The sequence below is a fragment of the Homo sapiens genome, chromosome 9 (genome assembly GCF_000001405.40).
Source record: "Homo sapiens chromosome 9, GRCh38.p14 Primary Assembly".
In the NCBI taxonomy this organism is placed as follows: Eukaryota; Metazoa; Chordata; class Mammalia; order Primates; family Hominidae; genus Homo; species Homo sapiens.
In genome coordinates this window covers 70,200,977-70,223,894 of record NC_000009.12, presented here as the reverse complement: position 1 = coordinate 70,223,894, position 22,918 = coordinate 70,200,977, and the positions used below count along the sequence as shown (strand labels likewise).

Here is a 22,918-nt window from a genome sequence, read left to right as displayed (position 1 = left end):
CCCCCTTGTATTATAAATATGTAGTAATACCTCTTCTTTTTCTACATTGACAATAGGATTAAGCTGACTTATCTTTGCACTTTAAGACTAACCAAATCTATCCAAATCAAATAGCTACTGAGCAAATACTTGTTTATTTAGATAATAGACATAACAAATGTAGGATTAAATAAGATCATATATGTCCTTGGTTCCCAAAGTGTGTGCTGAGGTGCCCCAGGGTGCCCAAGTACATTCATGGGGTGCTGTGGATAGTTTGAAATTTTAAGGGAAACATGGCAATATTCAATACTTAGCAGACACCATGTGAACTGCTAGCTCAATGTCATTCAAAGTTTTAACATGGGATTGTCCTGTATTGCTTTTGATAACATATCTTCATAGAGCTGAGTTTTTTGGTAGCTGCTACAATTAAAAGCAAGCATTGTGTAGAAATCAATGTGGAACATAAAATAAGGGTAGTGTATCCAATCTAATTCCAAGGTTTGGGAAGTTTGTGCCCGACAGGTATATACATTCTATTTGTACATAATTTTGGTTAATAATTAGATAAAATCTTAATTTTTATTTTAAGTATTTTTTCAGATGGCTACTAAGTTGTTAGAACATAAATACTTAAGTTGTTTGAATCCAAATACTTAATATATGAAACTGTTAGGTGTTTCTTCTGGTATTGCGGCACCAAGAAAAAATTACTATGGGCATCATAAACAAGAAAATTTGGAGACCTGAATCTTTTTTTTTTTTTTTTTTTTTTTTTTTGAGACAGAGTCTTGCTCTCAAGCTGGAGTGCAGTGATGCGATATCAGCTCACTGCAACCTCTGCCTCCTGGGCTCAAGTGATCCTCTTGCCTTAGGCGCCTTAGTAGCTGGGGCTACAGGCATGCACCACCAAACCTGGCTAATTTTTGTACTTTTAGAGGAGACAGGGTTTTGCCATGCTGTCCAGGCTGATCTCAAACTCCTGGGCTCAAGAAATCCCCCTACTTCAGCCTCCCAAAGTGCTGGGATTATAGGTGTAAGCCACCGCACCCTGCCAACCTGAGTCTTAGCTGAGTATGCAGTGCATAGAAATTCCTAGTAACTGTTAGGCAGTATAATTAATAATATGACTGATGTAAATATTTCAGTGAGCTGGGAATTTGTATAACACTTTACTTCAATGGCATAAAAATCTAAGAAACCAAGGAGGAAAAGTCATGAAAGCTGGGGAGGAGGGGTAATCAGGGAATCCAAAGGAAATAGAATGATTTTGTGCTTTTGATCAATAGTGAGTCAGTTTCTGCTTAGCACTAATAAATCCCTTAGGAAGGAGCATGATTAAACATTTGCCGTTTGATGCATTTCTTTTTCCCACAGGGATGATCTAATGAGTGGAATGCCTTTAGGAGGCCACCCACATATTTTCCCCATAGGATCAATCTCAAATGGCAGCAGTACTATCACACTCTAAATACCATCTCTACCTGCCCACCCCCATTCAAGCTGTACACATTTACTTCCCTAACTGTGTTCTCTTCCCTGAACTCATCTCATATCCTATTATTTACTTACAACCATTTGGATTTCTAATAGACATAGAAAACTTAACATGTCCCCCCAGAAGTCTATTAATTTTCTTCCTGCACACACTGCCCTCACTCCAGGTCTGCTCTGTCTCAACTCTTCCTCATCTCAATAAATGATATCTCAATTCATTTTAGCAATTGCTCATGCCAAAAGCTTTGGAGTCATCTTGGTGTCTCCCTTTCCCTCAGACTCCACATTCTATACATAAGAAGTCTCGTGGGCTTCTGATGACATCTCCTCACCTCTGCTGCATAGCCTAAGCCATCACTCCTCTTGCCAGGGCTACTGCAGCAGCCCCCAAAGTCTCCTTGTCCCATTGCAGTATACTTTACACGCAGTAGCTGGAGTGATCATTTCAAAATCAGATAATATTACCTTAAAGCTGTATGATGGCTTCTTACTGCTTTTGGAACAAATTTCAAACTCTTTACCACACCTTCTAAGGATTTTCATGATTATCACAATACTTCTTTGACCTCACCACTTGATCAACTTGACTTCTTCTTCCTCTTATTTTCCTTCCTCTTCTTAATATTATTTTTAATTGATAAATCACAATTTTATACCTTTATGGGGTACAATGTGATATACACACACACACACACAAAATGTGGGATGATTAACTCAAGCTAATTAACATATCTGTCACCTCACTTATTTATCACTTTTTTGTGATAAGATGTGAAATTTACTCTCTTAGTTATTTTGAAATATACAATACATTATTGACTGTAGTCATCCTGTGTTCAACAAATCTCAAAAACATATTCCTCTTGTCTATCTGAAACTTTGTAGCCTTTGACCAACAACTCCCCATTCCCTGCTCCTGCTTCCCCCAGCCTCTGGTAACCATCATTCTACTCTCTACTTCCATGAGCTCAGCTTGACTTCTTCATAGCACTTGTTATCTGATGTTACTCTCTCTCTCTCTCTCTCTCTCTCTCTATATATATATATATATATATATATTTGTTGTTTGGCTTGCTTTTTTTTTTAGAGACAGGGTCTCAATATGTTGCCAGGCTGATCTCAAACCTCAAACTCCTGGCCTCAGGCAATCCTCCCACCTCGGCCTCCCGAAGTGCTGGGATTACAGATGTGAGCCACTGTGCCCGGCCTTGGCTTGCATTTTCTACGTCCTCCCCACTAGAATGTAAATTCCAAACAAATAAGAACTTTATATATTACATTCATTGCAGTATCTTCAGCACCTAGAATAGTAAATGGACAATACGTACTTATTGAGATGAGATATTTTGGTCTCAAACAACAGGAGCTCAGTCTGGATGCCTGATGTAGCTGTTGAGAATACCAGTTCTGCCACGGTGATATGAATTAGTGACTAGGGAGACTTAGGTGAGAATATATTGGTAGAACAGTGATAATATTTTGATACTTTAAAGTTTATAAAACCCTTTCACATACATAATCTCCTTTGACTCTCTAACTCTGCAATGTCAGCACAGCTGACTAGGAATTATTACCCCATTTTGAGAATGTATAAACTCTCAGAGTGTAAAAGGTATCTCCAAAATCATGCAGTGCTTGTGACCTTCAGGCCAATGAGGATTATTTTGGAACTTCTATGGTAGGAGGCAGTGTAGAACAGTGGCTTAGGGATACAAACTTTGGAACCATGCAGATCTGGTTCTCATTCAGCCACTTATCAGCCAGACATTTACTTTTCCCCACCTGTAAAATGGGGAAATAGGATCAGTTGAAAGAACTTACGTACAGCTCTTAGCACTGTAAGTGCCTGGCATGTAGCAGATGGCTGATCTATGTGCACATGAGTATATCTGTTTTATTAGACACTAGGATGTTTTGGAGCAACTAGTTCAGCCTGGTCTCCCTGGCATCATTTGGATTCCTGAGGGAATCACTAACACAGAGGAGATTCTTATCTGTTCCATTCTAAGCCAAGGGGGAGGATTCTGGAGTCTTCTTCCCAGACTGTGAGCTGGAAGTCTCCAGGGCGATTCTGCATCATTTGAAGAGCCCTAAATGCCATTTCAGATGCCACACTACTCTGTACTCAAAAAACATTTCAAATAACTACCTCCCCAGTAAGTCTATTATATGCAAGGCCATGTGTCTGATCCCCAAGGCCTAGATGCTGATAAGTTACCTGTCCCCAGAACTCAAATCTTAGAGCACTTGCGCATCAGTATCGCTTGAGAGTTGAACAAAAAATCAGTGCTCAGGTGTCACCCCCAAAGATTTAGATTCATTTAGTCTAGCATAGAGATTCTTTGCCTTTAGCATGCATCAGATTCACCTGGAGGGCTTATTAAAACAGATTTCTGGGGCCCCCAAATCCTGTTTCTGATTCATTCGTTTTAAAGTGGGACCTGAGAATTTGCATTTTAAGTGAATTTGTGTTTCAAGTGAATTTGCATTTCAGGTATTGCTGATGCTGCTGGTACCTGGACCAAACTTTGAGAACCATTTGAATACAGAAGGAGTACCCTAATAGCCTAACAAAATTAATCCATCATCTCTGAATAATGATCAATTATATTAGTAAGTTCCTGAGCCATCCACTTTCTTCTTTCGAACAGACATTAAATCACTATAAAATTATTCCTGAAGCTACCTGTTATTCTTTGCCAAATGTCTAGGTGTTTATCCATGTTGGGATAATGGGCCTTTCCCAGATAATGGCTCATCTTCCCTGTCATTTGCTCTTTAACAATGTAGCACCTTTGACTGCACTGCAACTTGGCCATCTGAGCTTCTGCAATTCCTTCCCATTTATATCTGTAGAAAATTATTTTTGGTCATAGGTTGGTGCAAAATAAAACCCTTAATTTGGATATCCCTTCCCAGGAAGATCTGGGTTTAGACAAGGCAGCCAGTGGTTAAAGACGCAGAGTGCTGGTCCAGGAGGTTTATCAGCCAGAAGTAAGAATGAGTAGGAAGGTGTGCCTTTAGTTGGAGGTCACACTTGAGAATTCTACAGAGCAATTTTAAGAACAGTCAGAAATCTGAACGTTATCATCTCCCACAGCTTTCTGGAGCTTTGGCTCATGGTAGGCAGGTAAAATCTGTGGCTATCAGAAGGCAGGTGTGGTTCTCCAGGCTAGACTGGCTGTTCAGCCCCTACCTACTAGAATTTAAAAGGGTGTTTCCTATTGCTGCCCAGATTCCTTTATGATAGAGAACATCTAGGATGGACATCTTCTATAGCACATGAGAGGACCTGGGGGAGACCCAGGACTGAGGATCAAGTCTCTCAGTTTCTTTTGCATCAATGCAGTGATGGAGGCAGAGGCATTAAAAAAACAAAACTTACTCTGGACCATGCTCACTGTTAAATAGAGGCTTAAGGCAAAAGCTCTTAGATGTATGTGAGTAATGATGAGTAAAAGATGCAGCTGCAACTAATTAGGTAATACCATATTTAGAAGAAAAGACTTCGTTTTGGAGATATGCATGATACATAGAAATATACTTGACACCCATAATGTATCAAGACAAAAATAGATATACTTTTATCATAGAACTGCAAGAAAATCACTTTATGCATAAATTCTCAAAGCTTTCTCTCCCTGTCACTGCTTAGATTTAATCAATGTATAGACTAATTATGTTTACTCCCTCTTAATCCTGCCTTTGTCTATGACCCTGAAAAAGAACAAAATATTCTCTTTGGTAGCAAGAATAAGAAAGAACATCAGAAGCTCCTACACGTTTTCCATTGCTTAGTTCTTATCTCTGTTGGCTTACCTGGTGTTGCCTCTCACAGCTGTATTCAATCAGTGCTCGTAGCCAGGAAATGCTCTGTTCACCTCTTCTCCTCCATAAGAGGGACTCTTCACTGTCTTCTTCCTTTTTCAGATAAACACTCAGCAGGCCAGTGCCCCCTCCATACATGTGGTAGAAAAAGGTCAAGCAGTGTTTTCCAGAGACTCCTCGCAGAGGCCTGGACAAGAGGCGTGCTTTTTGTCCATACACCATATGGGAGGCCTCAATGTACATGTAGTAGCCTTGAGGTGAATGCAAAAGCAGGTATTGTTAAAAAGGACACAAATTACATTTTCTCCTTTCATAATGTTCTTTCAGAGTGTCAAGTCAAGATGATCTGACTAAAAGTACTGATAAAGGGTTTTATAATTTTGAAGAATGCATATTATCTAAGGAGAATGAATAACTTCCAAAAATGAGACCAACAAAATGATTTCTTAAATTTAATGATTTATAATTCAGTTTAATATACAAGAGGTAATTAATATACCAGTATTATGCCACTGATACAGTGATTAACACATCAGAATTTATATTACTTATTCATGGACAATATCCTAAAGCTTCCAGACGTTGGTTTGGAGAGAAAGAGAGGGTGGGTTTTGTAGTCAGGTAGATCTGGGTTCAAGTCTTGACTATAATATTTGTTGTTTATGTGATTCTGGTCTAATGAATAATCTCTAAACTTACATTCATCATTTTAAGATAAGGGTTAATACCTATGCTACAGAATTGTGAGAATTAAATAACATAATGACATATGCTCACATGTTATGCATATTCCATTATTTGTTTCCTGTCCTACTTAATTCCTAAAACTTTTTGTGACACTTTTTTTTAGTTTTGAAAACATACTCTGTAATTTTTTTAAATATAATCCAATCTTTATTTAAAAATCTAATCTGCCAGTTTAGCGTTTTCCACCAACTTGGGGAGCTGAAACTTTCACAGGCTTCACAATCTTTTGCTTAGGTGCTGCCTTTGTAGGTGCCTTAGCAGTAGCCATTGCAGTCTTTTTAGATGCTTGCTTAGCCTTTTTTGCTTCCTTAGCAGCCCTGATAGCTTGTTCTCGTTGAGCCTTTCTAACTTAAGGTTTCTGATTCCTCTTGGCCATTATATCAGCAAGAGATGCACCAGTAATGGCCCTCTGGAATTTGACTGCTGGGTGGGTTCTTTTCTTTTGAATTTCTTCCGACTCTCCCTTTTTGTGCTTCCTTCTGTGGAGGACAGTCCAGTTTATCTGCCAAGGATTCCTCTTGGAAAGGAATGCCGACTCGCATTTCGCATTAAGAAACTCGAAAACCTTCCCGTCGGTCCTGGCGTAGTGCCTCCCCTGTCCCGGGTAGATCTTGTACCCACTAAAACTGCACAGCTCGACCTTCGTGGCGACGGCTCCACGGGAAGAGAAAAGATGGCGAAGAGCCATATTCTGTAATATTTTTAAATTGCCTTTCCAATTTCCTTTTCTAATTTTATTTTATTGCTATTTTTAAATTTATTGGCTTCAGGCAGAAACAGGATTAATCGGCATGTAGATAAGGCAGTGGTGTGCTGCAGCCAACTTGTACGGGCTTCCAATAGTCCATTGTATGCATTCTGTCCGAGCTCCAGGTGATTTCACATTGGTAGCTGGAACTGGGCCATGATGGGACTATTTAAACTACAGAAATTGGACATGTATACAAGTCAGTACATCCTTCTCAAAGCCAGTTGGTGTTAAACAATCACTATCATGTCACTGAAGTAAAACTATATATGAATAGTAATGCAAGAGATCTTTTCTAGAGTAATTCACTGGTAATATAATTCTGTGCATCTGAGGCCCATTTTAAAAAAGGCCCTAAACTCTTCACTAGTAGGTATTAACCTTTGATCACTTGATGAAAAGTTTAGACTGCCTCTATTTGAAAAGTACACAAAGAAAGTTTGCATGCAACTTTGTTGCCTTGTTTGGTGTTACATTTGTGTTTGGAATGGATGTATGTGTCTCCCCAAATTCATATGTTGAAGCCCTACCCCTTGTGTGATAGTAATTGGAGATGGGGCACTGGGGAGCTAATTAGGGCTAGATGAGGTCATGAGGCTGAAGCCCTCCTGATGACAATAGTGCCCTTATAAGAAGAGACAGCAGGGAGCTTGTTCTCTCTCTCTCTTCAGGCGCACACACCAAGAAAGGCCATGTGGGCACACAGCAAGATGGTGCCTGTCTGCAAACTAGGAAAAGAGCCCTCACCAGGAACTGAAACAGCTGGCACCTTGATGTTGGACTTTCCAGCCTCCACAACTGTGAGAGGTAAGTTTCTGTTGTTTAAACCACCTAGTCTATGATATTTTGTTATGGCAGCCCAAGCAAACACCAACATTTGCCAATTTTGATTTATTTTTTACATATATGATGTAAAAAGTAATCTTTACAAAGTATCATATGTCTCATTATTTCATGCAGAAATTGGTGACCAAATCAAGGGGAAAAATAAAGAGATCCCAAATAATACATGCAAATTAAATGGTTTCTTTATAGTTTGAAGTTTAATCAATGAACTCTAATTAATCATTTCCAAAAATATGGCAATCGAGACATCCAAACAAGAATTGGTTAGAAGTCCCCTCTATGTGCCTGGGAGGCCTTTCTCCATTCTCTTTTTCTTATTTCTACAAACACAAATCTGAGAAGTTCTATAAGTTTATTAAAACAGTGGGAGAAAGCATCGTTGGTCTTAATAAATTGTGTGCACTGTGCAACCTCTTCCCCCAGTGTTTGTTTTACTCTATAAAGTTCTCACCCTGCAAAACTGGGCTGACTCAGGATATGGCCTGCATCAACCAGTCACATATAAGGAATGACGCTGCCCCAAAGAAGCAAAATCAGAGCAGAGTTCTGTGTCTGTCACTTCAGGTTGCCTGTTAACAAGGCATGGTGCCACCATAGGCTCCACTAGCTGGGGATTCCTGAATGCAGTGAACAAGTAGAAATCAAAACCTCCTTTAGGATACTCTAAAGACTACATATATTTCAGTGCAGTTCAAAAGTAAATTTTAATTAGAAAGCTAATTGGTTTAAATAAGAAATTGAAATTGTGGGAGTGTCTTTGATCTGGTATGTTACATTTGACATCCAGTCAACTTCAACTTTTCATCTCATTGGCAGTAGTTTCATCCAGATGCATGCTTAAGGGAAATGGCATAGCTGCCAACTTTCCCATGATCTGCTCAAAAATAATAGCAAAAAAACCTGTCAGTGTTCTGCAGTGCTCACCAGTGACATCCTCATTACGAACTCGAGTGGTCAGTTTTCAGTCTTTGTCATTTTTGTAACATTGGACATAGTGGTTTACCACTTCAGAAAGTAGAATTACATTCTTACGTTGGCTTGCAAGACACTGTATTCTCCTGCTTTTTCTCCTTCCTCACTGGTGACTCCTTTGCTGGTCACTTTTTTCACAATTCCACTCTCTCTTTCCTGACCTTTTGACCCTGGAGTGCCCCAAGGTCCAGTTTTTACTTCGCTATTCTTACTTCCTTGATGATCTCATCTTGTTTCAGGGCTTTAAATACCAAATATGTTATATCTCAAACTCAAATTTTCAACCTTTTTGCTGAAATCTAGACTTGTTCAAACTGTCTAATGGACATCTCCACTTACTGTCAGGTAGACATCTCACACTGAGCATATTCAAAACTCAACTTCCTGACAGCCTGAAGTAGACTAAATATCCAGTCGTTGACACCCAAAACCTGTGAGTCGCACACCACTACTCTCTTTTTCTGATTCTCCACATCAAGGCTATCAGGAATTCCCACTGGCTCTACCTTTAAAATATATCCAGAATCCAGTCACTTCTCTTCTTACCGCCTCCACTGCTATCACCCTGGTCCAAGCTGCTATCATTTCTCGCTTGGATTAATGCAACAGCTTCCCAACTACTCTGTCTGCTTCTACTCTGGTCCCCTGCAATCTCATCTCAAAATTGTATTCATAGTGCTCCTTCTAAAGCAAAAGCAAAATCATACCACTCATTTAAAACCTTCCACTGGGTTAGCATTTCAGAGTGAAAGCTAAAGTCCTTACAATTGGCTTTAGAACCCCATACAGTCTCCCACCTATTCTCTTACCTGTCTCATTCCTACTGGCTTTCTCCTCACTTACTGTGTTGCTTGGCCACACTGGCCTTTGTATTATTCCTGGAATATGGCAGGTATGCTGCTGCCTGAAGGCCTTTGCATGTGCTAAGTCTGGTTCTTCCTCTAGATATTCTCAGGTCTCACTCTCTTACCTCCTTTAAGTCTTTGCTCAGATGTCACCTTTTCTATTAGACCTGTTCTGACTATACTATTCCAAATTGCAGTCCCTCTTCCCTGGCACTCCTCATTCCTTATACCCTAATTTATGTTTTCCATAGTTAATTGCCTCTTAACATACTGTATAATTTTCTTATTTTTATGTTTGCCTGTCTCTTTCCTTTAGAATTCACAAGGACAGAGATTTTTTTTCTTGTTTAGTTCACTGCCACATTCCCAGGTCCTAGAACAGTGCTTGGAACATAGTAAATGCTCATTAATATCTGTTGAATGGATGAATGAATGCATTTTTTCCCACAGCTCTAAGCACAAACCAGTTTGACCATTTCTAGGGCACATGGCTCCACCGTAGTCACTCCAAATGTGTGAAGTTCTTGGCGGTGAGATATGCACTTGACTATGATGATCCAAGGCAAACTAGAGCAAATCCCAGTTTTGGTAAAATTAAAGTCTTATCAAAGCAAATCATCTCAGACAAGTTCTACACTATCTGAAGTATTTTTTAGATGAACACATAATTCTTTCTTTGAGTTCATTACCTTCATTCTTTCACTGGCAAGCAAATTGGTCCACAAGAAGCACAGGGGGTTTTGCACATTCAATGATGAAAGGAAACTTTTTCTTTTGTACATATTTTCTTTAACATTTTCTAACTTAGGTCAATGTAAACAATACAGATATACATAATCCTAACAGAAGGGTGTGTTTAATTCCATGGAAAGAGAGATCAAGGCATGAAAATGACCATAGTATATCACCTAACTATGTACAAAGGAATCCAATGCTATCCTACACATAAGTTAGTAACATGGTAGATGGAAACAATACCCTAATACATTTAGCTTAAAAAAAATTCATCCCAAAAGTAATTTTTAAGACAAGAAAAAAATGTTCACACCTGGCTATGGAGCTCTGAAAAGGCCCACCTGAATCCAAAGTAAAGGACCTTAGCTATAGATGAAATTCTCAATGAGGGGAAAAAGCTCCACTGAAAGATGCTGTCACTGGGAAAGTGGAAAGTAGAGACTAAGGGCCCTGAAACATGAAGTATTTTCAAAATGGAGGGGAAGTAATGAATTCATCATGAGAGAGATGACCTAAGAATTGTCTTTTGTTTAGTGATCATGGCTGTGCATTCCTACTGGTAACAGTACAAGTCTTGACCAGGATTATTCTGAGGTCCTGGAAGAGAGGAAACCTCTTAATTATCCCCAGGATCATTCGATTGACTTCTTTCTTTCATGGGCACAATGGACTAATTCATTTAGTTTGTGAGGGTGAAGCACTAGTCTGGTTGACCAGTTCTTCCCAACAGGTTTGGACTCTAACTAAATCAGGGATAGCCTGCACAGCCTCCTCTAACCATCTGTTCTTTGGACCACACACATCTCTACAGATGTGACTCCTGAAGTCTACTATGCTTTCAGTTCATGTGCCCCTGGGCCACAGGTATCAGGCTGAAACTATTCACTAAGGTTTCCAGTTCCAGGAACCTTTGTATTTAGTACCATAAAATAGGAGGAGGTTCCAAGATGGCCAAATAGGAACAGCTACAGTCTACAGCTCCCAGCATGAGTGACGCAGAAGACGGGTGATTTCTGCATTTCCAACTGAGGTACTGGGTTCATCTCACTGGGGCTTATTGGACAGCGGATGCAGCCCACGGAGTGTGAGCTGAAGCAGGGTGGGGCATCACCTCACCCGGAAAGCGCAAGGGGTCGCAGAATTCCCTTTCCTAGCCAAGGGAAGCCGTGACAAGGGAAACCTGGAAAATCAGGACACTCCCACTCTAATACTGCACTTTTCCAACAGTCTTAGCAAATGGCACACCAGGAGATTATATCCCGTGCCTGGCTCAGAGGGTCCCAAACCCACAGAGCCTCGCTCACTGCTAACACGGCAGTCTGAGATTGAACTGCAAGGCAGCAGCGAGGCTGGGGAAGGGGCATCTGCCATTGCTGAGGCTTGAGTAGGTACACAAAGCGGCCAGGAAGGGCCAACTGGGTGGAGCCCACCACAGCTCAAGGAGGCCTGCCTGCCTCTGTAGACTCCACCTGTGGGGGCAGGGCATAGCTGAACAAAAGGCAGCAGAAACTTCTGCAGACTTAAACGTCCCTGTCTGACAGCTTTGAAGAGAGTAGTGGTTCTCCCAGCATGGAGTTTGAGATCTGAGAACAGACAGACTGCCTCCTCAAGTGGGTCCCTGACCCCCAAGTAGCCTAACTGGGAGACACCTCCCAGTAGGGGCCAACTGACACTTAATACAGCTGGGTGCCCCTCTGAGACAAAGCTTCCAGAGGAATGATCAGGCAGCAACATCTGCCATTCTGCAATATTTGCTGTTCTGCAGCCTCCGCTGCTGATACCCAGGCAAACAGAGTCTGGAGTGGACCTCCAGCAAACTCCAACAGACCTGCAGTTGAGGGTCCTGACTGTTAGAAAGAAAACTAATGAACAGAAAGGACATCCACACCAAAACCCCATCTGTACGTTACCATCATCAAAGACCAAAGGTAGATAAAACCACAAAGATAGGGAGAAACCAGAGCAGAAAAGCTGAAAATTCTAAAAATCAGAGCACCTCTTCTATTCCAGAGGAACGTAGCTCCTCATCAGTAACGGAACAAAGCTGGATGGAGAATGACTTTGACGAGTTGAGAGAAGAAGGCTTCAGACGATCGGTAATAACTAATAGCTAAAGGTGGATGTTTGAACCCATCACAAAGAAGCTAAAAACCTTGAAAAAAGATTAGATGAATGGCTAACTAGAATAAACAGTATAGAGAAGACCTTAAATGACTTGATGGAGCTGAAAACCATGGCAAGAGAACTATGTGATGCATGCACAAGCTTCAGTAGCTGATTCGATGAAATGGAAGAAAGGTAATCAGTGATTGAAGATCAAATTAATGAAATGAAGTGAGAAGAGACGTTTAGAGAAAAAAAGAGTGAAAAGAAATGAACAAAGCCTCCAAGAAATATGGGACTATGTCAAAAGACCAAATCTACATCTGATTGGTGTACCTGAAAGTGACGGGGAGGATGGAACCAAGTTGGAAAACAGTCTTCAGGATATTATCCAGGAGAACTTCCCCAACCTACCAAGGCAAGCCAACATAGAAATTCAGGAAATTCAGAGAACGCCACAAAGATACTCCTCGAGAAGAGCAATCCCAAGACACATAATTGTCAGATTCACCAAAGTGGAAATGGAGGAAAAATGTTAAGGGCAGCCAGAAAGGTCAGGTTACCCATAAAGGGAAGCCCATCAAACTAATAGCTGATCTCTTGGCAGAAACTCTACAAGCCAGAAGAGAGTGGGGGCCAATATTCAACATTCTTAAAGAAAAGAATTTTCAACCCAGAATTTCATATCCAGCCAAACTAAGCTTCATAAGTGAAGGAGAAATAAAATCCTTTATAGACAAACAAATGCTGAGAGGTTTTGTCACTACCAGGCCTGTCTTACAGAGCTCCCGAAGGAAGCACTAAACATGAAAAGGAACAACCGGTACCAGCCACTGCAAAAACATGCCAAATTGTAAAGACCATCAATGCTAGGAAGAAACTGCATCAACTAATGAACAAAATAACCAGCTAACGTCATGACAGGATCAAATTCACACATAACAATATTAACCTTAAATGTAAATGGGCTAAATGCTCCAATTAAAAGACACAGACTGGCAACTTGGATAAAGAGTCAAGACCCATCAGTGTGCTGTATTCAGGAAACCCATCTCACATGCAAAGACACACATAGGCTCAAAATAAAGGGATGGAGGAAGACCTACCAAGCAAATGGAAAACAAGAAAAAGGCAGGGGTTGCAATCCTAGTCTTCGATAAAACAGACTTTAAACCAACAAAGATCAAAAGAGACAAAGAAGGCCATTACATAATGGTAAAGGGATCAAGTCAACAAGAACTAACTATCCTAAATATATATGCACCCAATACAGAAGCATCCAGATTCATAAAGCAAGTCCTTAGAGACCTACAAAGAGACTTAGACTCACATACAATAATGATGGGAGACTTTAACACCCCACTGTCAACATTAGACAGATCAACGAGACAGAAAGTTAACAAGGATATCCAGGAATTGAACTCATCTCTGCACCAAGCAGACCTAATAGATATCTGCAGAACTCTCCACCCCAAATCGACAGAATATACATTCTTCTCAGCACCACATTGCACTTATTCCAAAATTGACCACATAGTTGGAAGTAAACCATTCCTCAGCAAATGTAAAAGAACAGAAATTATAACAAACTGTCCCTCAGACCACAGTGCAGTCAAACTAGAACTCAGAATTTAAAAACTCACTCAAAACCGCTCAACTACATGGAAACTGAACAACCTGCTCCTGAATGACTATTGGGTACATAACGAAATGAAGGCAGAGATAAAGATGTTCTCTGAAACCAATGGGAACAAAGACACAATATACCAGAATCTCTGGCACACATTTAAAGCAGTGTGTAGAGGGAAATTTATAGCACTAAATGCCCACAAGAGAAAGCAGGAAAGATCTAAAATTGACACCCTAACATCACAATTAAAATAACTAGAGAAGCAAGAGCAAACACATTCAAAAGCTAGCAGAAGGCAAGAAATAACTAAGATCAGAGCGGAACTGAAAGAGATAGAGATACGAAAGACCCTTCAAAAAAATCAGTGAATCCAGGAGCTGGTTTTTTAAAAAGATCAATAAAATAGATAGATAGATAGACCGCTCAGACTAATAAAAAAGAACAGAGAAGAATCAAATAGATGCAATAAAAAATGATAAAGGGAATATCACAACTGATCCTACAGAAATACAAACTACCATCAGAGAATACTATAAACACCTCTATGAAAATAAACTAGAAAATCTAGAAGAAATGGATAAATTCCTCAACACATATGCCCTCCCAAGACTAAACCAGGAAGAAGTTGAATCCCTGAATAGAGGAATAACAGACTCTGAAATTGAGGCAATAATTAATAGCCTACCAACCAAAAAAAGTCCAGGACCAGATGGATTCACAGCCGAATTCTACCAGAGGTACAAAGAGGAGCTGGTACAATTCCTTCTGAAACTATTCGAATCAACAGAAAAAGAGGGAATCCTCCCTAATTCATTTTATGAGGCCAACATCATCCTGATACCAAAGCCTGGCAGAGACGCAACAAAAAAGCAAATTTTAGACCAATATCCCTGATGAACATCGACGCAAAAATCCTCAATAAAATACTGGCAAACCGAATCCAGCAGCACATCAAAAAGCTTATCCACCATGATCAAGTTGGCTTCATCCCTGGGATGCAAGGCTGGTTCAGCATACACAAATCAATAAACATAGTCCATCATATAAACAGAACCAAAGACAAAAACCACATGATTATCTCAATAGACACAGAAAAGGCCTTTGACAAAATTCAGCAGCCCTTCATGCTAAAAATTCTTAATAAACTAGGTATTGATGGGACATATCTCAAAATAATAGCTATCTATGACAAACCCACAGCCAATATCATACTGAATGGACAAAAACTGGAAGCATTCCCTTTGAAAACTGGCACAAGACAGGGATGCCCTCTCTCACCACTCCTATTCAGCATAGTGTTGGAAGTTCTGGCCAGGGCAGTCAGGTAAGACAAAGAAATAAAGGGTATTAAGTTAGGAAAAGAGAAAGTCAAATTGTGCCTGTTTGCAGATGACATGATTGTATATTTAGAAAACCCCATCATCTCAGCCCAAAATATCCTTAAGCTGATAAGCAACTTCAGCAAAGTCTCAGGATACAAAATCAATGTGCAAAAATCACAAGCATTCCTATACACCAATACCAGACAAACAGAGAGCCAAATCATGAGTGAACTTCCCATTCACAATTGCTTCAAAGAGAATAAAATACCTAGGAATCCAACTTACAAGGGATGTGAAGGACCTCTTCAAGGAGAACTACAAACCACTGCTCAATGAAATAAAAGAGGACACAAAGAAATGGAAGGACATTCCATGCTCATGGATAGGAAGAATCAATATCATGAAAATGGCCATACTGCCCAAGGTAATTTATAGATTCAATGCCATCCCCATCAAGCTACCAATGACTTTCTTCACAGAATTGGAAAAAACTACTTTAAAGTTCATGTGGAATCAAAAAAGAGCCCTCAGTGCCAACGCAATCCTAAGCCAAAAGAACAAAGCTGGAAGCATTACGCTACCGGACTGCAAACTATACTACAAGGCTACAGTAACCAAAACAGCATGGTACTGGTACCAAAACAGAGATATAGACCAATGGAACAGAACAGAGCCCTCAGAAATAATACCACACATCTACAACCATCTGATCTTTGACAAACCTGACAAAAACAAGAAATGGGGAAAGGTTTCCCTATTTAATAAATAGTGCTGGGAAAACTGGTTAGCCATATGTGGAAAGCTGTAACTGGATCCCTTCCTTACACCTTATACAAAAATTAATTCAAGATGGATTAAAAACTTAAATGTTAGACCTAAAACCATAAAAACCCTAGAAGAAAACCTAGGCAATACCATTCAGGACATAGGCATGGGCAAGGACTTCATGTCGAAAACACCAAAAGCAATGACAACAAAAGCCAAAATTGACAAATGGGATCTAATTAAACTAAAGAGCTTCTGCACAGCAAAAGAAACTACCATCAGAGTGAACAGGCAACCTACAGAATGGGAGAAAATTTTTACAATCTTCCCATCTGACAAAGGGCTAATATCCAGAATCTACAAAGAACTTAAAACAAATTAACAAGAAAAAAATCAAACAGCCCCATCAAAAAGTGGGCAAAGGATATGAACGGACACTTCTCAAAAGAAGACATTTATGCAGTCAACAGACACATGAATAATGCTCATCAGCACTGGCCATCAGAGAAATGCAAATCAAAACCACAATGAGATACCATCTCACACCAGTTAGAATGACGATCATTAAAAAGTCAGGAAACAAAAGGTGCTGGAGAGGATGTGGAGAAATAGGAACACTTTTACACTGCTGGTGGTTCTGTAAACTAGTTCAGCCATTGTGGAAGACAGTGTGGTGATTCCTTAAGGATCTAGAACTAGAAATACCATTTGATCCAGCCATCCCATTACTGGGTATATACCCAAAGGATTATAAAGCATGCTGCTATAAAGACACCTGCATATGTATGTTTATTTCAGCACTATTCACAATAGCAAAGCCTTGGAACCAACCCAAATGTCCATCAATGATAGACTGGATTAAGAAAATGTGGCACATATACACCATGGAATACTATGCAGCCATAAAAAAGGATGAGTTCTTGTCCTTTGTAGGGACATGGATGAAGCTGGAAACCATCATTCTCAGCAAACTATCACAAGGACAGAAAACCAAACACTGCATGTTCTCACTCATAGGTGGGAATTGAACAATGAGAACACTTGGACACAGGGTGGGGAACATCACACACCGGGGCCTGTGGTGGGGTGGGGAGAGAGAGGAAGGATAGCATTAGGAGTTATACCTATTGTAAATGACGAGTTAATGGGTGCAGCACACCAACATGGCACATGTATACATATGTAACAAATGTGTACGTTGTGCACATGTACCCTAGAACTTAAAGTATAATAATAATAAAAAAAGATATATACCAAAAAAAATATGAAACAAAGTCTCCTATGTTGCTTGTTGTATAATTGTGCTGCTTTTGGAAGAGAGGAGTAACATCGAGGGGACTATAAATGCCCACTACTTTTCTTGAATAATTTTGGTCTTTGTAAATATCCTTCAGGATATAGTTTATATTCTAAGCACACACAGTAGTCTTCCTGATCCTTAGTGTATGTGTTCCAGGACCCCTAGTGGAGCCTGAAACCACAGATAATACCAAGCCGTGTATAGACTGTTCCTGTACACATATACCTGTGATAAATTTTGTTATAAATTAGATGCTGTAAGAGATTAACAACAATAACTCACAATAAAATAGAACAATTATAACAATACTCTGGTGCACAATTTAAAACTTATAAATTGGCCAGTTCTGGAATTTCCCATTTAATATTTTCAGACTGCCATTGACTGAGAGTAACTGAAACTCTCAGTTGGAAAGTGAACCTGTGGATAAGGGAGGACTACTTTATGTCTATTCCATAAAGCAGTACCTATGTAGAGTAATGTAGACAAACATCTTACCTAAACATAATTTTAACAAACTTACCAATGAATCAGAGTATGCCCCTTTGATGCACAAACCAGTCATTCGTTTTGATGACAAGTATTTTTTTCTTCTTGACTTGCAAATGACACTTGGTTTCCCCAGAAAAGATCAGAACTTCACGCAGAGCCACTCTGCCTCACATGTGTTTGGAAAGCAGAGAAAAGCCCTGTTTGACAAGTTTTACCACATTACAGCTTCAAGCACTGTCTGTCTCAGCAAAGAAAAGCTCTGGATGGGAGCCAGGAAGCCCCAGTATTGAAGCTTCAGACCAGCTCACATGTTGTTGCACATGAAGGATTCCAGTCTGTGGAAGGGATTATTAACTGGAGAAAATAAATTACATTCTCTCTGTGGGTCACTGTTTAACATTCAAGATGGGGGTTCCAATGGATCTATTGGGAGATCAGGGTCCCCTCTGTTCTTTGCACAGCAACTGTGATGTGTTGAGACACACAGACACATTCCACATCCATAATTCTGGACTGTGAAGCAGCTGTTCCTCCAGTCTCAGGGCTCTTTTTCAGGGTAGGGAAGGAGCCTGAGTGGCCTGCATGGAGAGGCTGTGTGGAATGGACAGCTAGCTGCATTCCTTAGCTGGAAAAGAATTCTTAAAAATCAGGGGAAAAAGATACCAATATTTTGTGAAGAACAATTGTAGAAGGTGTCGCTCTAAAATTTCTCTTTACTATACTTTTAAGTGATTTTAAAAGGCTGTCATAAATGAGGAGTTATTGTTTAATGGGTACGGAGTTTCAGTTTTGGGAAATGAAAAAAAAGCTCTGGAGATGGATGGTGGTGATGGTTACACAATGATGTGAATAGACTCAGTGCCACTGAATTAGACACTTAAAATGGTTAAAGTATGTTATGTGCATTTTACCACCAATTTTTTAAAAAGCTTGTCACAGAAGCCTTCTCTGTGTAAGTAGAATCTGGCAATGTCAGAAACTAACATAATTAAAAAATAAGCGGGGAGGAGCCAAGATGGCCGAATAGGAACAGCTCTGGTCTACAGCTCCCAGCGTGAGCGAGGCAGAAGACGGGTGATTTCTGCATTTCCATCTGAGGTACCGGGTGCATCTCACTAGGGAGTGCCAGACAGTGGGGGCAGGCCAGTGGGTGTGCGCACCATGCGCGAGCTGAAGCAGGGCGGGGCATTGCCTCACCTGGGAAGCACAAGGGGTCAGGGAGTTCCCTTTCCAAGTCAAAGAAAGGGGTGAAGGACACACCTGGAAAATCGGGTCACTCCCACCCGAATATTGCTCTTTTCAGACCGGCTTAAAAAACGGCGCACCACGAGACTATATCCCACACCTGGCTCGGAGGGTCCTACGCCCACGGAATCTCGCTGATTGCTAGCACAGCAGTCTGAGATCAAACTGCAAGGCGCCAGCGAGGCTGGGGGAGGGGCGCCCGCCATTGCCCAGGCTTGCTTAGGTAAACAAAGCAGCCGGGAAGCTCGAACTGGGTGGAGCCCACCACAGCTCAAGGAGGCCTGCCTGCCTCTGTAGGCTCCACCTCTGGGGGCAGGGCACAGACAAACAAAAAGACAGCAGTAACCTCTGCAGACTTAAATGTCCCTGTCTGACAGCTTTGAAGAGAGCAGTGGTTCTCCCAGCACGCAGCTGGAGATCTGAGAACTGGCAGACTGCCTCCTCAAGTGGGTCCCTGACCCCTGACCCCCGAGCAGCCTAACTGGGAGGCACCCCCCAGCAGGGGCACACTGACACCTCACACAGTAGGGTATTCCAACAGACCTGCAGCTGAGGGTCCTGTCTGTTAGAAGGAAAACTAACAAACAGAAAGGACATCCACACCGAAAACCCATCTGTACATCACCATCATCAAAGACCAAAAGTAGATAAAACCACAAAGATGGGGAAAAAACAGAACAGAAAAACTGGAAACTCTAAAACGCAGAGCGTCTCTCCTCCTCCAGAGGAACGCAGTTCCTCACCAGCAACAGAACAAAGCTGGATGGAGAATGACTTTGACGAGCTGAGAGAAGAAGGCTTCAGACGATCAAATTACTCTGAGCTACGGGAGGACATTCAAACCAAAGGCAAAGAAGTTGGAAACTTTGAAAAAAATTTAGAAGAATGTATAACTAGAATAACCAATACAGAGAAGTGCTTAAAGGAGCTGATGGAGCTGAAAACCAAGGCTCGAGAACTACGTGAAGAATGCAGAAGCCTCAGGAGCCGATGCGATCAACTGGAAGAAAGGGTATCAGCAATGGAAGATGAAATGAATGAAATGAAGCGAGAAGGGAAGTTTAGAGAAGAAAGAATAAAAAGAAATGAGCAAAGCCTCCAAGAAATATGGGACTATGTGAAAAGACCAAATCTACGTCTGATTGGTGTACCTGAAAGTGATGGGGAGAATGGAACCAAGTTGGAAAACACTCTGCAGGATATTATCCAGGAGAACTTCCCCAATCTAGCAAGGCAGGCCAACGTTCAGATTCAGGAAATACAGAGAATGCCACAAAGATACTCCTCGAGAAGAGCAACTCCAAGACACATAAATGTCAGATTCACCAAAGTTGAAATGGAGGAAAAAATGTTAAGGGCAGCCAGAGAGAAAGGTCGGGTTACCCTCAAAGGGAAGCCCATCAGACTAACAGCGGATCTCTCGGCAGAAACCCTACAAGCCAGAAGAGAGTGGGGGCCAATATTCAACATTCTTAAAGAAAAGAATTTTCAACCCAGAATTTCATATCCAGCCAAACTAAGCTTCATAAGTGAAGGAGAAATAAAATACTTTACAGACAAGCAAATGCTGACCGATTTTGTCACCATCAGGCCTGCCCTAAAAGAGCTCCTTAAGGAAGCGCTAAACATGGAAAGGAACAACCGGTACCAGCCGCTGCAAAATCATGCCAAAATGTAAAGACCATCAAGACTAGGAAGAAACTGCATCAACTAACGAGCAAAATCACCAGCTAACATCATAATGACAGGATCAAATTCACACATAACAATATTAACTTTAAATATAAATGGGCTAAATGCTCCAATTAAAAGACACAGACTGGCAAATTGGATAAAGAGTCAAGATCCATCAGTGTGCTGTATTCAGGAAACCCATCTCACGTGCAGAGACACACATAGGCTCAAAATAAAAGGATGGAGGAAGATCTACCAAGCAAATGGAAAACAAAAAAAGGCAGGGGTTGCAATCCTAGTCTCTGATAAAACAGACTTTAAACCAACAAAGATCACAAGAGACAAAGAAGGCCATTACATAATGGTAAAGGGATCAATTCAACAAGAAGAGCTAACTATCCTAAATATATATGCACCTAATACGGGAAAACCCAGATTCATAAAGCAATTCCTGAGTGACCTACAAAGAGACTTAGACTCCCACACATTAATAATGGGAGACTTTAACACCCCACTGTCAACATTAGACAGATCAACGAGACAGAAAGTCAACAAGGATACCCAGGAATTGAACTCAGCTCTGCACCAAGCGGACCTAATAGACATCTACAGAACTCTCCACCCCAAATCAACAGAATATACATTTTTTTTCAGCACCACACCACACCTATTCCAAAATTGACCACATACTTGGAAGTAAAGCTCTCCTCAGCAAATGTAAAAGAACAGACATTATAACAAACTATCTCTCAGACCACAGTGCAATCAAACTAGAACTCAGGATTAAGAATCCCACTCAAAGCCGCTCAACTACATGGAAACTGAACAGCCTGCTCCTGAATGACTACTGGGTACATAACGAAATGAAGGCAGAAATAAAGATGTTGTTTGAAACCAACGAGAACAAAGACACAACATACCAGAATCTCTGGGACACATTCAAAGCAGTGTGTAGAGGGAAATTTATAGCACTAAATGCCCACAAGAGAAAGCAGGAAAGATCCAAAATTGACACTCTAACATCACAATTAAAAGAACCAGAAAAGCAAGAGCAAACACATTCAAAAGCTAGCAGAAGGCAAGAAATAACTAAAATCAGAGCAGAACTGAAGGAAATAGAGACACAAAAAACCCTTCAAAAAATCTATGAATCCAGGAGCTGCTTTTTTGAAAGGATCAACAAAATTGATAGACCGCTAGCAAGACTAATAAAGAAAAAAAGAGAGAAGAATCAAATAGACACAATAAAAAATGATAAAGGGGATATCACCACCGATCCCACAGAAATACAAACTACCATCAGAGAATACTACAAACACCTCTACGCAAATAAACTAGAAAATCTAGAAGAAATGGATACATTCCTCGACACATGCACTCTCCCAAGACTAAACCAGGAAGAATTTGAATCTCTGAATAGACCAATAACAGGATCTGAAATTGTGGCAATAATCAATAGTTTACCAACCAAAAAGAGTCCAGGACCAGATGGATTCACAGCCGAATTCTACCAGAGGTACAAGGAGGAACTGGTACCATTCCTTCTGAAACTATTCCAATCAATAGAAAAAGAGGGAATCCTCCCTAACTCATTTTATGAGGCCAGCATCATTCTGATACCAAAGCCGGGCAGAGACACAACCAAAAAAGAGAATTTTAGACCAATATCCTTGATGAACATTGATGCAAAAATCCTCAATAAAATACTGGCAAACCGAATCCAGCAGCACATCAAAAAGCTTATCCACCATGATCAAGTGGGCTTCATCCCTGGGATGCAAGGCTGGTTCAATATACGCAAATCAATAAATGTAATCCAGCATATAAACAGAGCCAAAGACAAAAACCACATGATTATCTCAATAGATGCAGAAAAAGCCTTTGACAAGATTCAACAACCCTTCATGCTAAAAACTCTCAATAAATTAGGTATTGATGGGATGTATTTCAAAATAATAAGAGCTATTTATGACAAACCCACAGCCAATATCATACCGAATGGGCAAAAACTGGAAGCATTCCCTTTGAAAACTGGCACAAGACAGGGATGCCCTCTCTCACCACTCCTATTCAACATAGTGTTGGAAGTTCTGGCCAGGGCAATTAGGCAGGAGAAGGAAATAAAGGGTATTCAATTAGGAAAAGAGGAAGTCAAATTGTCCCTGTTTGCAGACGACATGATTGTAT

The 22,918-nt window shown here is 40.6% G+C and overlaps 1 protein-coding gene, 1 long non-coding RNA gene and 1 pseudogene across 3 annotated transcripts in view; 1 reads left to right on the top strand and 2 right to left on the bottom strand.

The window, feature by feature from the left end:
• SMC5-DT (SMC5 divergent transcript) overlaps window positions 1–7,836 on the top strand; it is a 42,816-nt gene extending 34,980 nt beyond the window's left edge. Inside the window, exon 4 of the long non-coding RNA NR_039990.1 lies at window positions 7,474–7,836. This is a non-coding gene — a long non-coding RNA (SMC5 divergent transcript). The remainder of the gene's footprint in view (window positions 1–7,473) is intronic.
• Window positions 1–22,918, bottom strand: part of MAMDC2 (MAM domain containing 2) — a 183,392-nt gene that overhangs the window by 3,078 nt on the left and 157,396 nt on the right. For both annotated transcript variants that reach the window (NR_125850.1, NM_153267.5), the window contains exon 12: window positions 5,299–5,558. Coding sequence is in view for 1 of the 2 variants with exons in the window: in NM_153267.5 (NP_694999.3) it covers window positions 5,299–5,558 (260 nt within the window). In the remaining variant the exon portion in view is untranslated. The remainder of the gene's footprint in view (window positions 1–5,298; window positions 5,559–22,918) is intronic.
• On the bottom strand, window positions 6,189–6,738 carry RPL24P8 (RPL24 pseudogene 8; annotated as a pseudogene).